Source organism: Homo sapiens, chromosome 2 (genome assembly GCF_000001405.40).
Source record: "Homo sapiens chromosome 2, GRCh38.p14 Primary Assembly".
Taxonomy (NCBI): Eukaryota; Metazoa; Chordata; class Mammalia; order Primates; family Hominidae; genus Homo; species Homo sapiens.
Genome location: NC_000002.12, coordinates 55,333,362 through 55,349,902, shown reverse-complemented (window position 1 = coordinate 55,349,902; position 16,541 = coordinate 55,333,362). Strand labels below are relative to the sequence as shown.

The following is a 16,541-nucleotide window of genomic DNA, read 5'->3' as shown; positions in this document are numbered from 1 at the left end:
GAAGAGAGAAAGAAGAGTGGAAATGGAAGGGCAGGAAAGATGAAAAGAGAGAAAGAGAAAAACTGTATTACATACTATGAGAACATTAGCCTTTGGAAAACATTAGGGAAGAGGTTTTATTAATGGCATCTAATTATATAAATTCCTAATATCTATCTTTTTTTTTTTATCTTCTAGATTAGGGTTATGGCTAATACTATGTCCAACTAGTTATTTAGTGATGATGATACATTTATATTAACGCAGATGATGATCACAGTTTTCAAAAATAGTATACTTAATGAATATATTTTTGCATTTAAGGGAGGAAAAGACTGAGCAGTTGTTGGATTGTAAACAAGAACTTGAGCAAATGGAAATAGAACTCAAAAGGCTGCAACAAGAGGTTTGTACCTGGAATATCTGTTATTTAGGACCACCAAGTAATTGGAAATTGATTTTCTTCCTTGTAATTTATAACCTTTACTTCAATGCTTTATGTAAATAAAAGAGGTTCCTGAGGCTTCAAGAGATTGGATGACTTTTTCAGAGTCTCTCTCTTCAAAAATGTCAGAGCCAAACTTTCTTCCATATTAATGCTGTTCAAACTCTGCTAAGATTCAAAAGAGCTACTTAGGACTGAGGTAGTTCCACATTTTTCTTTTTGATGTGTTTGGCTTCTGTGGCCTTGGAAGCTAGAACACCTCTACTGTAAACTGTGCTCTTTATGTGTATCTCTCTGTGTCTCTGCTCCCTGATAGTGCTTTATGCTAACTCATATGTAATAGAATGTTTTTTGATTTTTTTCACTTTTCCTATTAAATAAGATTAAAACTTTTTAAAAAGTATCTTTATTTTACAGCAGCTTCTTCTTTTTTCACCTTAAACCAAGAGTAATTAATAGTTCACTTTTACAATCACTCTAATGTTTCATTTTTATTTGGGGTTAGTGTATGAGCTCTTTAATCCATAAGTGCTAAGGATTAGGATAAGGCTGGATAGTTGTTTCTTCCCTTAACTTCCCCATACCTGACTTTAGATGCAGGGAATACTGTAATTGTAGGATCATAAACTGGGACCTTCATAGATAAATGAGACTGGGCTTCATAGTCTTTATTTCTAGACATGCTGGGGTTGCTTTTCTACTTGTTGGCAGCAGGGTTTTTTTTACGTGTGTTGGTTCTCTCTAAAGCAGTAGTTTTCTCTAAAGGTTCTCTCTAAAGCAGTCTTTTTGGTCTCAAGCCTCCTCACCACTGTTAAAAATTAATGAGGATTGGTTTAATGTGGATTATATCTATTGGTATTTACCATATTAGAAACTAAAACTATGAAGTTTTAAAAACTTAAGTCTGGCCAGGTGCGGTGGCTCACGTCAGTAATCCCAGCACTTTGGGAGGCTGAGGCAGGTGGATCAAGAGGTCAGGAGTTCGAAACCAGCCTGGCCAACGTAGTGAAACCCTGTCTCTACTAAAAATACCAAAAATTAGCCGGACGTGATTGTGGGCACCTGTAATCCCAGCTACTCAGTAGGCTGAGGCAGGAGAATCGCTTGAACCCGGGAGGTGGAGGTTGCAGCAAGCCGAGATCACGCCATTGCACTCCAGCCCGGGCAACAGTGCGAGACTCCGTCTCAAAAAAAAAAAAAAATTAAGTCACTTGGGTTGGGCGCAGTGGCTCATGCCTATAATCCTAGCACTTTGGGAGGCCAAGGCAGGTGGGTTGCTTGAGCCCAGGAGTTAAAGACCTGCCTGGGCAACGTGACAAAACCTCATCGCTACAAAAAAATGAAAAAATTAGCTGCACGTAATGGGGCACTCGCCTGTAGTCCCAGCTACTTGGGAGACTGAGGTGGGAAGATCACTTGAGCCTGGGAGGTCGAGGCTGCAGTGAGCTGTGAATGTGCCAGTGATCAGCCTGGGTGACAGAGTGAGACCCTGTCTCAAAGGAAAAAAAAAAGTCATTAAAAAATTAACCCATTCCATGTTAGACTCCATCTCTAAAATAAATAACTAGGTTGGGCATGGTGGCTTATACATGTAATCCCAGCACTTTGAAAGGGCAAGGCAGGCAGATCACTTGAGGCCAGGAATTGAAGACCAGCCTGGGCAACATGGCGAAACTCTGTCTCTACTGAAAATACAAAAATTAATTGGGTGTGGTGGTGCACACCTGTAATCCCAGCTACTTGGGAGGCGGAGGCACAAGAATCGCTTGAACCTGGGAGGTGGAGGTTGCAGTGAGTTGAGATTGTGCCACTGCTGCACTCCAGCCTGCGTGACAGAGTGAGACTCTGTCTCAAAAAAAAAAAAAAAAAAAAGGTAGATGAATAGATAACATAGGTATTTTAATGAAATAACCGTTATTTTCCAAAACAAAGAATAATTAAAAGAATGGTACTATTTTACATTTTTGCAGATCTCTTTAATACCTTGCTTAATAGATTACTACTACTATATTCTCATAGCTGTTTCTGCATTTAGTCTGTTAAGATGTCACACACCATGTAGCCTCTGGAAAACTTTACTCTGCCCTCATGAGAGAATGAAAGTGAAAAAGACAAATAATGTCTTAGGTTATTATGAAAATACTTTTGACCTCCTGAACTCCCTGAAAAGGTTTCAGGGTCCACAGAAGACCCTGGATTACACTTTAAGAACTACTATCCTAAAGGATTACAATAAGGCTTTTAAAAGGTTGGATTTTAATATTTGTCTCAAATGACATTAACGTATGCACTAATGATTTTACTTGGAAGCATTAAAAAAATGTCAGCAAGATTTTGGTATATCACAACATATCTATAGAAACTTTACTTCTATACAGTAATTAATGATTTATTTTAGTAATATTGTTTGCCTTTTCTGTATTTTTACCATCTTTTATTTTAAAATTAACTTTTTCACCATAAATTAATTGCAAATGGTTGTTACATAGATGTTAACTTATTTTAAAATATCCTGAATATTTTTTACATTCCTGACAGATAGCATGATATTTAAAAAATATGAGCATAAATGTATATATATGTTTAAAATACTTCGATTTTTTTAAAAAGGTTTTAAAAAAATTTTAGTAACATATCCACGATAATGGAAAAAAAGTTTATATCTCCCCATTTAAAAAACAAATTTAGATATAATTTACATACCATAAAATTCACCATTTTAAAGTATGTACTTTTTTGATTTTTAAAGTAAATTTATCAGCCGAGTGCGGTGGCTTACGCCTGTAATCCCAGCACTTTGGGAGGCTGAGGCAGGTGGATCACCTGAGGTCAGGAGTTTGAGACTGGCCTGGCCAACATGACGAAACTCCATCTCTACTAAAAATACAAAAATTAGCCGGGCATGGTGGGGGGAGCTTTTAATCCCAGCTACTTGGGAAGCTGAGGCAGGAGAAGTGCTTGAACCTGGGAGGCGGAGGTTGCAGTGAGCTGAGATTGCACCATTGCACTCCAGCCTGGGCAACAAGAGTGAAACTCCATCTCAAATAAATAAATAAATAAATAAATAAAATTTCAAATTGTGCAACAAAGAATAACAAGTTGATAACAGAAAATAATTAAAATATAATTTTAAATTTTTGTTTAGAACATGAATTTGCTTTCGGATGCTCGCTCTGCCAGAATGTACCGAGATGAATTAGATGCACTTCGAGAGAAAGCAGTCAGAGTCGATAAGCTTGAAAGTGAAGTCAGCAGATATAAAGAGAGACTACATGATATTGAATTTTATAAGGCAAGAGTTGAGGTATGTTGCATAATTAACCATTCATGATTTTTTTTTCTGTGTTAGAATTTTAACACATTTAAAATGCAGTTAATAAACATGAGAAACTCTTGAAATGGTGAACAAACAGTAAATACATTTGGGTATGTTTATTTTATGATAGATTAGCATATTGCTTTTAGTTAGACTTTTACAAAAGGGATCTATGGATATTACTAATTTTATTGAACTCTGGGGTTCTTCTTTTATTCCTTTTCTTAGCATCATATATAGAGCAGACCTTTGAAGTCCTTCCCTTGTAGTCAAAATATTTACTTCTATTTCAGACTTTTTTCCAAAAGTGAAAGCAAAACATATTTCAGATTGCTTCTTAACTGAGATCACTAAATTAAGATTAATGAAGTCTATATATATGCAAACAAATGAAAAAAATATTCTAACTTGATAGTTACAGTTCAGTGTTACATGAAGTTGAGTTTGACAGGAATTTGACAGGTCAGGCTGGGCACAGTGGCTCACTTCTGTAATCCCAGCACTTTGGGAGGCCAAGGTGGGTAGATCACCTGAGGTCAGGGGTTCGAGACTAGCCTGGCCAGTGTGGCAAAACCCCGTCTCTATTAAAAATACAAAAATTAGCTGGGCATGGTGGCGCATGCCTGTAAGCCCAGCTACTCAGGAGGCTGAGGCAGGAGAATCGCTTGAACCGAGGAGGTGGAGGTTGCAGTGAGTCGAGATCGCGCCACTACAGCCTGGGCGACAGAGTGAGACTCTGTCTCAAACAAAACAAAAAAAAAGAATTTGGCAGGTCTTGTATCTTCTTTCTCAGTTAATTTCCTCATCTGTAAACAGGAGATTTTGGTCAGTTTCAGTATTAGGATAAGAAGGAGGGAGTATACAAAATCAAGAAACGAAAACATAAGAGAAAGTAGTTAGAACATTTTAGCTTAAAGGTTACCAGTAAGTAGACCCAATAGGACTGTAGAGATAAAGTACATATTAATTATTTGCCAGTTATTTAAAGACTTGTGTATGCATGACACTGTTAAGGGATTCTCATGAATACCACTGTCTTAGTATACTTTTTCTAGACTTTAGTTTAGAAACCATAGGTATATAACTTAGCAAGATAGAATTGTGAACACTTGTCTTCAAAACATATGCAGGGACTTTTAAGGATTTCCTCAAGGTGTATTTATATAAAATATTTATTAATAGAGCCTTGGTTTATGATTTATGTGAGTTCTGGTTTAAGTCTTGGTATTTTACTGCAAAAACCTCAAGCCCTTCACTTCCAAGTTATAGCTCCAAGTACAGAGAAATATTTAAATCTATTTCAGTCAATACATTAAGCCTTGATTCCATGGAGAATTGTATCTTAAATATCTGGAAGACTCCTTGTACTTAGTTAATTCCTTATCCTTGTGACTAAGGAAGTTAAATATACCCCGACAATTTAATGTGAAGTTATAGTAGTATTATATATCTTAAGAACTGAGTGTTTTGTTTGCATTCTGGGGTAAAAAGGAAGCCAAGAAAACATTAATTGTATTTCTATTACTCAGTAGGTTTCCTCATGCATAGAACTGTTGATAAAGATGGCTTAATGTTTTATGATAATCTGTATGTTCCATAACTTTAAAAAATTAACAGATATTAACACATTTGTGATAAACATTTATAGGAATTAAAAGAAGACAATCAAGTTTTATTAGAAACAAAAACCATGTTGGAAGACCAACTAGAGGGAACTCGTGCTCGTTCTGATAAATTACATGAATTAGAAAAAGAGAACTTACAACTGAAAGCTAAACTTCATGATATGGAAATGGTAAGTTTTAAGAGGTAGATCAGTTACATGGCCTTTAAGGAAAACTTCTAAGATTCAGCTGATTTCCCTGTATTGGCAAGGATGGCTAGTGTCCTTGAGGCTTTAACAGAGAAGAGAGAGCTAAATAAATTAGATGCCTCCAACTTTATATAAATATAAAAGTAGTAGAAATTTCTGCTTTTGTTACAGAAGCATGTTACTTACTAATGTTGTCTTCAACCTTTTAATACCACAATAAATAAGCTATTGTGTAAACATGTCTTTAAAAATACAGAAATCTGATTGCTAAAATTTAGCATTGGTTCATAATTCTTTTGTTGTATCACTAAAACAGTATGTTGACTATGAAGAAGAATTTTCATTGTGTCCCCAAAGATCAGCTTAAAAGGATGTCAGACACTTAATCAGTATAATGACCGGTAATAATTATAATTGCCTTCAAAACTGAAAAATTTAAAGAACTCATAATTATTACTGAGTTTCTGATAAATAAAAGTTGTGAGAAATAAAGTATTTGCTCAAAATTGTACTGTTTCTTAGCTTTTTTCTCTCCCTAATCCTTGCCAATAAAAAAGGAACGAGATATGGATAGAAAAAAGATTGAAGAATTAATGGAAGAAAATATGACTTTGGAAATGGCACAGAAACAAAGTATGGATGAATCATTACATCTTGGCTGGGAACTGGAACAGATATCCAGAACTAGTGAACTTTCCGAAGGTATTCCCAATTTTTTTAATTTAAATAGATAATCGAATCATGAAGTTGTATTTATGTTTACTTGCAGTTCTTTATTTTCCGCAGTGGGAGATATCTCAGAAGACTACCTGTCTCCATAGATATGATTTCACACAGTAATATATTGTTTGCATTTTCTTGGGTCTGGTCCCTAGCTTTACATGTCTTACAACTGAATTTCATGAATGCAATAACAGATTTAATTGGTTTCTTAGCCACTATTTCATGTTAATATCCTAAGAGGCTGCAATATCAGTTTATTAATGTATTTTAAGAAATATAGCCATCTAATAAATAGAACAGAAAAGTCGTATTAGTGGTCAGCATGTTCTTTGACTATAGGTAAACCCAAATAGGAAGTTAAAGCATAATGGGCAAATTTTCAGAGGAAAATATAGTTAGAATTAGTTAATTTAAGGATCTTCATGACTACTTGTAATATGTATAGTCTCCATTATAAGATTATACCTGCCAACCAGCCCAGCCTGGTTATACTATGGACCTAATGTAAGATCCCCCAGGTAAATTTTTAACTTTTGGCTCTCTTTTCCTGGGCTTCACATTGACTTGTCCTCTTTCTTAAAGCTGGGCATGATTATGTACAATTGTTTGGATTATAGCTTTGGATATGCTAATATGGATTTTTGAAATTACAAAAAAATTCACCAGTTAGGTCACATTTATTCAAATTAGACTAGTTTCAAAACTCCTCAGTTTTGCCCAGTATTAGATTGTTCTACTTGCATTTCTTCAGCAAATATTTACTAAGCACCTAATGTGTAAAATACTATACCAGACACCAAGGACATAATGTTGACGTAGACATAAACTCTTGAGATTTTATAATCCAGTGCTTACAGAATAATTACCTCTATAGATGATTCATCCTATTGATTACCAATTAGGTTCTTCCTGTTTTATACTTGAAAACCTAATTCCAAATTCTGGGGCCCCATGTACTGGCTATAGAGTAAGTTATGATATTCAATGATTGAACTTGTGTTACTTGAGATATTTGTGAAACTTTAAAAATTATATTCCTTGTGAATTGAGTTACAAAGAAAGCAATTCAGACTTAAGTGTTTTCTACTAAAGGTATTTAGAATTACTGTGTTAGTTAAGAGTTTCCTTACTTGTTAAGTGGGGACAAAATAGTGAATATCATCTAGACTTCTGAGGATTAAATTGTTGATATTTGTGAGGCCCTTAAATAGTGCCTGGTAAATAGTAAGCATTCAAGTATTAAATATCATTATTATTATGTCACTGTTGTTTTGTAATTGATCTTAGCTGGTGTTGTAGAATTGAATATTTGCTTTACTGTGGTGTATGTAGTTTTTATTTTTTAAATTATACAAGGGACTTTCCAGAAAATTTACAGAATTTGGGAAAAAAAGGAAGAAATAAAAGGCACTAAAAATTTTTTAAGTCACTTTTCATTTCAGAAAATTTGTTTCAGAACTTTTCTATCTCATTTTCTAACCCACGTATCTTAGGAAAGTTAAAACTATCTTAGAAGTTTTTTAACTGCCAGTGTGTTTAATAATCATCTAGTATAAAAGTTTGCAGTACTTGTGCTTTCAAGTTTCTATGGAATAGGTGGGAATGTAAACTGGTTCAGCCATTCTGGAAAACAGTGTGGAGGTTCCTCAAAAAATTAGAAATAGAACTCTCATAGCATTCAGCAGTTTTGCTCCTGGGTATATATCTAAAGGACATTAAATCAGTATATCAAAGAGATATCTGCATTCCCATGCTTGTTGCAGCATTATTCACAAATGTCAAGATATGGAATCAACCTGTGTCTGTCAATGAAATGATGGATAAAGAAAACGTGGTTTATATACATAATGGAATATTTGTCAGTCATAAAAAGAATGAAATTCTGGCCAGGTGCAGTGGCTCACACCTGTAATCCCAGCACTTTGGGAGGCCGAGGCGGGTGGATCACGAGGTCAAGAGTTCAAGACCAGCCTGACCAATATGGTGAAACCCCGTCTCTGCTGAAAATACAAAAATTAGCCAGGCATGGTGGCGCACACCTGTGATCCCAGCTACTTGGGAGGCTGAGGCAGGAGAACCTCTTGAACCCGTGAGGCAGAAGTTGCAGTGAGCTGAGATCATCCTATTGCACTCCAGCCTAGGTGACACAGTGAGACTCTGTCCCAGAAAAAAAAAAAGGGGGCGGGGAGTGCCGGGCATGGTGGCTCACACCTGTAATCCCAGCACTCTGGGAGGCCGAGGCGGGCAGATCACGAGGTCAAGACCATCCTGGCCAACATGATGAAACCCCGTCTCTACTGAAAATACAAAAAAAATTTGCTGAGCGTGGTGGCGCGCGCCTGTAGTCCCAGCTGCTTGGGAGCTGAAGCAGGAAAATCGCTTGAACCCGAGAGGCAGAGGTTGCAGTGAGCCACTATCATGCCACTGCACTCCAGCCTGGGTGACAGAGCAAGACTCTGTCTCAAAAAAAAAAAAAAAAAAAAAAAGAAAGAAATTCTGTCATTTGCAACAATATGGATGAACTTCAAGGGCATTATGTTAAGTGAACTAAGCTAGGCACAGAAAGACAATAGTGCATGATCTCATTTATATGTGGTATCAAAAAAAATTCAGACTCATAGAAACAGAGAATAAAATGGTTGTTACCAGAGGCTGAGGAGTTGAGGGTATTGGGAAGATGTTGGTCAAAGGACACAAAATTTCACTTAGATGAGAATAAGTTTAAGAGATCTATTGTGTATCATAGTGACTATTTAAAAACACCTAATACAGGTAGATTAACAATAATGCTACTCTTAGGGAATAATATGTATTTAAACTGTTTCTATACTGTGTTTTAATAGATATCATACAACAGAATAAATTTATAAAGGGATAATGAATGGAACTGGATTAAAGATTTTAAAATAATTTCAGCGTGTTCAGAATATTCATTTTGAACTTTTAGCCAAAATAAGTAGTAGTGTATTTTCAAAATTCATTTAATCGTTCATTAGTTGCTACTTAGAATAATGTATCCTGTAAGTTTATAGTTAAATTTAAATAATCTTTTAATTAAAAAAAAGACTTAGGCAACTAATGGAATTTTAAAAGTTAGTAACTATTCGGTATACCAGCTTTCAGTAAAAGATTAACAACATGATGACTAGAAAAGCTGGAAATAAAAATTGAGATTTTCTTTACTTAAATATGGAGGTTATTTGCTTATCTAATTTTGAAGAGATTTTTTGCATGGTGGGGGATATGTTGGATGTGCGTGTATTTCTTTGGTTTTTATGAAGAAGAATTTGAAACATACACAAAAGCAGACCCGGAAATTCTCTCCAGTACCTTTATTCATTTCCTTTCTTGAAATAGTAGGTCTCATATTTCATTTGTAAATCCTAATGTTCTTATATCAGCAAAATATTTAATGGGTCTGCTTGAACTCCAATTTCTTCAATCTAAATTTTATGCTTTTTTTAACTAGAATGCTGTGGATGCATTAAAAGTTAAACATGTATCTCTTAGCTGGGTGCAGCGGCTCATGCCTGTAATCCCAGCACTTTGGGAGGCCAAGGCAGGAGGATTGCTTGAGCTCAGGAGTTCGAGACCAGCCTAAGTAACAGAGACCCAGTCTTTACTAAAAAATAAAAAAATTAGCTGGCTGTACCTGCAGTCCCGGCCGCTTGGGAGACTGAGGTGGGAGGATCCCTTCAGACCAGGCGTTTGAGGCTGCAGTGAGCTAGGAGCACATCACTGCACTCCAGCCTGGGTGACAGAGAGAGACCCCGTCTCTTTAAAAAAAAGAAAAAAAGAAAAGGAAAAAAAAGATTTACTTCTTTTATCTTGTTTATCTTATATAACCTCATTGAATTTTTAATAAAGTTAAGGATCAGATGATGCAATGCATATACACTCAACTTTTTAAATAGTAAAGAGTAAACATAGTAAAAACAGTAAAGAGTAAATACAATGGTGTATTTTTCAATATTATAGCACCCCAGAAATCCCTGGGCCATGAGGTGAATGAGTTGACATCAAGTAGATTATTGAAGCTAGAGATGGAAAATCAAAGTTTGACAAAAACCGTAGAAGAGCTTCGGACTACTGTGGATTCTGTAGAAGGCAATGCTTCCAAAATCCTGAAAATGGAAAAAGAAAATCAAAGGCTCAGTAAAAAGGTAAATTAAAATGTAGTGTTTATTTTAATGTTAAAAAAACTTGTAAAAGTGTAAATAAATAGCCCATTTATTTTCCACTTTTTAAATGCACGCTCAATGTTATTTTAACTTGTTATGAAAATTTTCAAATATACACAAATATGGTGTGAATGAACCCTATACTCATTATTCAGCTTCAGCAATTAAGAACTTACTAGCTGATCTTGGCCAGGTGCGGGGGCTCACGCCTGTAATCCCAGCACTTTGGGAGGCCAAGGCAGATGGATAACCTGAGGTCGGGAGTTTGTGACCAGCCTAGCCAACATGGTGAAACCCTGTCTCCACTAAAAGTACAAAAATTAGCCGGGTGTGGTTGTGGGCGCCGGTGATCCCAGCTACTCGGGAGGATGAGGCAGGAGAATCTCTCTCGAACCCGGGAGGTGGAGGTTGAAGTGAGCTGAGATCACGCCACTGCACTCCAGTCTGGGCCATAGAGCAAGACTCAAAATCTCAAAAAAAAAAAAAAAGAATAAGCAGGGCTAGAGGAGTTACATTTACCAGTTTCCAAATAATGAATTGGTTCTCTCATATCTTCTTGAGAGAACTAGTGAGTGAGTTTCTTTAGTGTCATTATGAACCCATGAATTTAAAAATATTTGTATTGTTTCAATCCACTGCATTTGTTTTTCTTACTGTCTCAACTCGGGCTAGTGGAAGCCTCTTTAAAAGCTGCTTTGGTCCTGAATCCTTATGACATGGCCTTAGCACTCCTTAAGAGCTTTCTTGCTTTCTGCCATGACAAAATATTCTAGGCTCATCTTGAACATTTTCTGTCCCAGACCTGGAGACAGCCATTTCTCTGAAATTAGCCCTTATTCCTTTTAGTGGGAAATGATATTTAGAGACCACAATTTAGGCATTATGAAACCTGAATCTTAATCAGACTCTGGTTGAACAGAAATATTCAGTTGTGCAAGAACAAGTGTTTTATTTTTGCATATCTTTCTGCACACATAATTCTACATAAATAGAATCCCATCATAAAAACATGCATGATTAAGAATTGTTTCTAAGAAGTTCCTAAGTGATGCTCATCCTGCTGTCCTGGAATCATGCTTTGAGAACCACTGCTTTAGATTATTCAGAGGCTCCTTAGTATTCTTGTAAGATTTTTACTGTTTAAAAATGTTTTTACATTGTCTTCAGTCCATTAACTAAATAATCTTAATAAGCGTTTGACAATATAGTGTTAAAGTAGGATGACCATTTAGAATTTAGAACAGTTTTATTTTGGTTGTCATTAAAATTGGGCCTGTAGAGTACAGTTTCTTTTTGAAATTAGCTTTGAAGTTTAATATGTAAATTCTTAGTGATTCAAGCAATTTTTGATTAATTGTAAAAATGATTTTTTTATAAACTGAATGTTTCACTTTAATCCCATTGATACAAAACAACAAATGAGTTTCAATAATTGTTATTCTTATATTTCCATCTATGTAATGTGAGAACCTGATTAATTATTCACAGCTGAAAGCTTCCTGAACTGTAAATTAATGTTGAATTGAGTTATTGGATAAGTTTTTTGACCTGATGCTTTTCATATTATTATTATTATTATCATCATTATTATTGGTAGTAGTATTTCGAGCTAGGGTCTCACTATATCACCCAGGCTGGAGTGCAGTGGTGCGATCTCAGCTCACTGCAACCTCTGCTTCTCAGGCTTAAGCAGTCCTCCCACCTCAGCCTCTCAAGTAGCTAGGACTACAGGCACAGGCCACCATGCCTGGCTAAGTTTTTTTGTTTTTTGTTTTGTTTTTGGTAGAGACATCGTTTCACTGTGTTGCCCAGGCTGGAAATATTATTGGAAGATTGTTTCTGTGTGTAGTTATTTCCATTAATGTTAAAATAGAAAAATTAAAATTGCTTTAGAGTGCTTCATTATTGACATAAGAATTTAACATTTAACTTGCAGTAGAATGTTTTATAAAGTCTTCTTGATTTTTTAAATTGCCTGGTTTGAATATGTTATATGATAATGGGAAAATCAATAGTCTTAGCATATTTTTAACTTTAATTTGCTATTTTGTACATATTAACTACCAGTATTTTTCATCTCTAAAATGCGTAATTGAAAAGAAATTTGAACCTAAAATATAAATATTAGCCCTTTTTTATGGTAGTATTTTTCTCCTTTTTTATCTTAAAGGAAGTCCTTTCTTTTTTCATTAAGCTTATACTGTACTGTTTATCATCTTTTCCTTCATGCTTTTTATATCTTCTCCTGCCTTCTTGCTCACTGAAATTCTCTGAGTATAAGTAAAATTTTACTTTACAAATCCACTCAAGCCAAGTGAATCTTTAAATAAAGTTTGTATAGTTCTCATATAGCATATTATCATTTATTGAGCTGGATTTGTCTTTGTGTTTAGAAAGTGAAATTTACCCCAAAAGATGCACAAGGATAAGAAATCATGTCTGCATATTTTATACAGCTACAGAAATTAGCATGGAATGCTACTTGAATTTCTATACTAATTTCTTAAATTTTAGCATTTGGATATTAACACTATTTTATCCTTTATTCAGCGATTATGTTTTGTTTTGACATGTTTTCACTGTTACAGAATATTTAACGTATTGTTTTGTGATTTAATTTTCTCTAGGTTGAGATTCTTGAAAATGAGATTGTTCAAGAAAAGCAAAGTCTTCAGAATTGTCAGAATTTAAGCAAGGATCTAATGAAGGAGAAAGCTCAGCTTGAAAAAACAATAGAAACACTGAGAGAAAATTCAGAGAGACAGGTTCATACATTTTTTACTAAGTAAACAATGTATTTTAAAATTTATTAGCAAAAGTTATTTAAAATATATGCAAACAAAATGTTCATATAAACATTAAAGGGAAATATTTTAGAATTTTTTTATTTTAAAGTAATTATAATTTTACCTCATTTTCTAACCTATGTGTCTTAGGAAAGTTGAAGAGAAAGCTTAGAGTTTTTTAAACTACCATTGTGCTTAATAATCATCTAGTATAAGCATTTGCAGTACTTGTGCTTTCAAGTGTCTGTGGAATAGGGCTGCCGATTCTAGAGTCCCTGAGTGGAGTTGGCCAGGAAATGGAGCTGTCCTCTGACCTACCAAAGAGGGAGAAATGTGGTGGCAACCACACTGTCTTGGATATTACCAAATTTGTTTTCAGCTCTTTAATGTTCATTCTCATTTTATGTTTGAGGAAACTGAGAACTGCATAGATTAATTGACTTATTTTTGAAATATTTATTTATTTGAGACAGGGTCCAGCTCTGTCACTCATGCTGGAGTGCAGTGGCACAATCATAGCTTACTGCAACCTCGAACACCTAGGCTCAAGCAATCCTTTCACCTTAGCTGGGACTACAGGCATGCACCACCATGCCCAGATAATTTTTTAATTTTTTTTTTTATTTTTTGGTAGAGACAAAGTATCACTATGCTCCCCAGGCTGGTCTCAAACCCCTGAGCTGAAGTGATATTCCTGCCTCAGCCTCCCGAAGTGCTAGGATTATAGGTGCCAGCCACCATGCTTGAGCATTAATTTTTTTAGAAGTTAAATTATTTGTTTATATCATCCAGGTACAGTCCTCAGACCAGCCATAAAAATGAAGGTTTCTTTAGAGATACAGAACCAAAATTCTAGACTAAGCTTCAATCTTCATTTTTCCAAGCTTGTTGAGATTATTTAACACACTAAATTTTGAGAATCATTGTATTAGATCACGCTATAAATTGGATGAATTAGTTCCCAAATGTACCCAGTGATTTTTGTGATTTTGATGCTTCCTACTTAGAATTCTTTTTGGGAATGAATACACACACATACAAACCCATATATACACATGTAATACAGCACATATTTACTGAGGACCCACTGTAGGCATTGCAAAGGTTACTTAGTAAAAGTAGAACCTTATGTTCTCAAGGAGGTATGTGTGTGTGTTACCTGTATTCCTATTTGAATTTGAAGCATGTAACTGTAAATAATCTGAAGACCATTATGATTAATAGAAAATACATTTCTCAACCGTTCCTTTAAACTGTGAACTTCCTAAAAACATGAACTTTAATGACCTCACAGTAAGTGTACACAGTGGTCTTCAGTAAATGACCTCACAGTAAGTGTACACAGTGGTCTTCAGTAAATACTTGTCAGAATTAAAAGTAAGACATGTTCTAGCACCCTTTTTTTGTTCCCCTTTTCTTGGTAGTTTTTGGAAGAGATAAACCATAGTTAGTTTTTCCTCAATTACAGCTTTTAATTATTTTCTTTTCAAATTAGATTAAGATACTGGAACAGGAAAATGAACATCTGAATCAAACAGTGTCTTCCTTAAGGCAGCGGTCCCAGATAAGTGCAGAAGCAAGAGTGAAAGACATTGAAAAAGAAAACAAAATTCTTCATGAATCTATCAAAGAAACAAGTAGCAAGCTAAGCAAGATTGAATTTGAAAAAAGACAAATTAAAAAAGAATTGGAACATTATAAAGAAAAAGGAGAACGAGCTGAAGAACTTGAAAATGAATTGCATCATCTTGAAAAAGAAAATGAATTATTACAGAAAAAAATAACTAATTTAAAAATTACTTGTGAAAAAATTGAGGCCTTAGAACAAGAAAATTCAGAGCTAGAAAGAGAAAATAGAAAATTAAAAAAAACATTGGATAGCTTTAAAAATCTGACCTTTCAGTTAGAATCCCTAGAAAAAGAGAATTCCCAACTTGATGAGGAAAACTTAGAACTGCGAAGGAATGTAGAATCTTTGAAGTGTGCAAGCATGAAAATGGCTCAGCTACAGCTAGAAAACAAAGAACTGGAAAGTGAAAAAGAGCAACTTAAGAAGGGTTTGGAGCTCCTGAAAGCATCTTTCAAGAAAACAGAACGCTTAGAAGTTAGCTACCAGGGTTTAGATATAGAAAATCAAAGACTGCAAAAAACTTTAGAGAACAGCAATAAAAAAATCCAGCAATTAGAGAGTGAACTACAAGACTTAGAGATGGAAAATCAAACATTGCAGAAAAACCTAGAAGAACTAAAAATATCTAGCAAAAGACTAGAACAGCTGGAAAAAGAAAATAAATCATTAGAGCAAGAGACTTCTCAACTGGAAAAGGATAAGAAACAATTGGAGAAGGAAAATAAGAGACTCCGACAACAAGCAGAAATTAAAGATACCACATTAGAAGAAAATAATGTGAAGATTGGAAATTTGGAAAAAGAAAACAAAACCCTATCCAAAGAAATTGGTATATATAAAGAATCTTGTGTCCGTCTGAAAGAACTAGAAAAAGAAAATAAGGAGCTTGTGAAAAGAGCAACTATTGATATAAAAACGTTGGTTACACTACGTGAGGTAAATATGTTTACCTAAATTAAGGCAAATTTTTTTTTATATTTTTAACTCAAGGTTTCTTTAAGTTTTATTGGAATCTATCAGTAATTTGCATCATTTATTTTATGGTTCAGTAGAATTTTGGAATTAGAACTAGAAATAGCTTCCAAGTTTCCTACTTTGTTAAACTAAGAAATACCTATAAATTGTATTTTTAAAAGAATTTGTAGTAATAAAGTTTCCTAGTGGTATCTGACTTATTACATTATAATTTTAAACCTTTATTTCAATATAATAATGTTTGATCAAGACACTAAATTCTAAGTATAATAAAGAAGCATGATAGCTACTATTTATTGAGTGCTGTGTGCCAAGTACTGGGCTAAAAACTTCATATAAGTTGTATATACATAAATAATATATACACACACACCCAAATATATATACACACATATATACATGCACATAATCTTTACAACTAATCCTTTATAAGTATTATATCCATTTTTTAGATGAGAAAACTGAGGTTCAGAAACATTAAATAAATTAGGATCACACAGCTAATAAATAGCAGAGTTGGATTACTGGATTCAAATCCAGATTTTTCAGACTCCAAAGCCCCATGAATTTTGACCTCAAAGCCAGAGAATGCAAATCAGGTTCAACCATTCAACACTGAGCAACTAGTATTTGCTTGAATCTATGTATCAAGAAGAATTCTGAAACTTACAGGAGTAAATTGGCAGTATGTCC

At 34.6% G+C, this 16,541-nt stretch overlaps 1 protein-coding gene and 1 long non-coding RNA gene across 5 annotated transcripts in view; one reads left to right on the top strand and one right to left on the bottom strand.

Moving 5' to 3' along the window:
• CCDC88A (coiled-coil domain containing 88A) overlaps positions 1–16,541 on the top strand; it is a 132,015-nt gene that overhangs the window by 69,954 nt on the left and 45,520 nt on the right. For all 4 annotated transcript variants that reach the window (NM_001254943.2, NM_001135597.2, NM_018084.5 and 1 more), the window contains exons 9-15: positions 304–385; positions 3,570–3,728; positions 5,389–5,535; positions 6,111–6,255; positions 10,255–10,439; positions 13,085–13,222; positions 14,739–15,809. In NM_001254943.2, coding sequence (NP_001241872.1) covers positions 304–385; positions 3,570–3,728; positions 5,389–5,535; positions 6,111–6,255; positions 10,255–10,439; positions 13,085–13,222; positions 14,739–15,809 — 1,927 coding nt within the window. The remainder of the gene's footprint in view (positions 1–303; positions 386–3,569; positions 3,729–5,388; positions 5,536–6,110; positions 6,256–10,254; positions 10,440–13,084; positions 13,223–14,738; positions 15,810–16,541) is intronic.
• Positions 9,594–16,541, bottom strand: part of LOC124907768 (uncharacterized) — a 31,478-nt gene continuing 24,530 nt past the window's right edge. The window contains exon 3 of the long non-coding RNA XR_007086323.1: positions 9,594–10,400. This is a non-coding gene — a long non-coding RNA (uncharacterized LOC124907768). The remainder of the gene's footprint in view (positions 10,401–16,541) is intronic.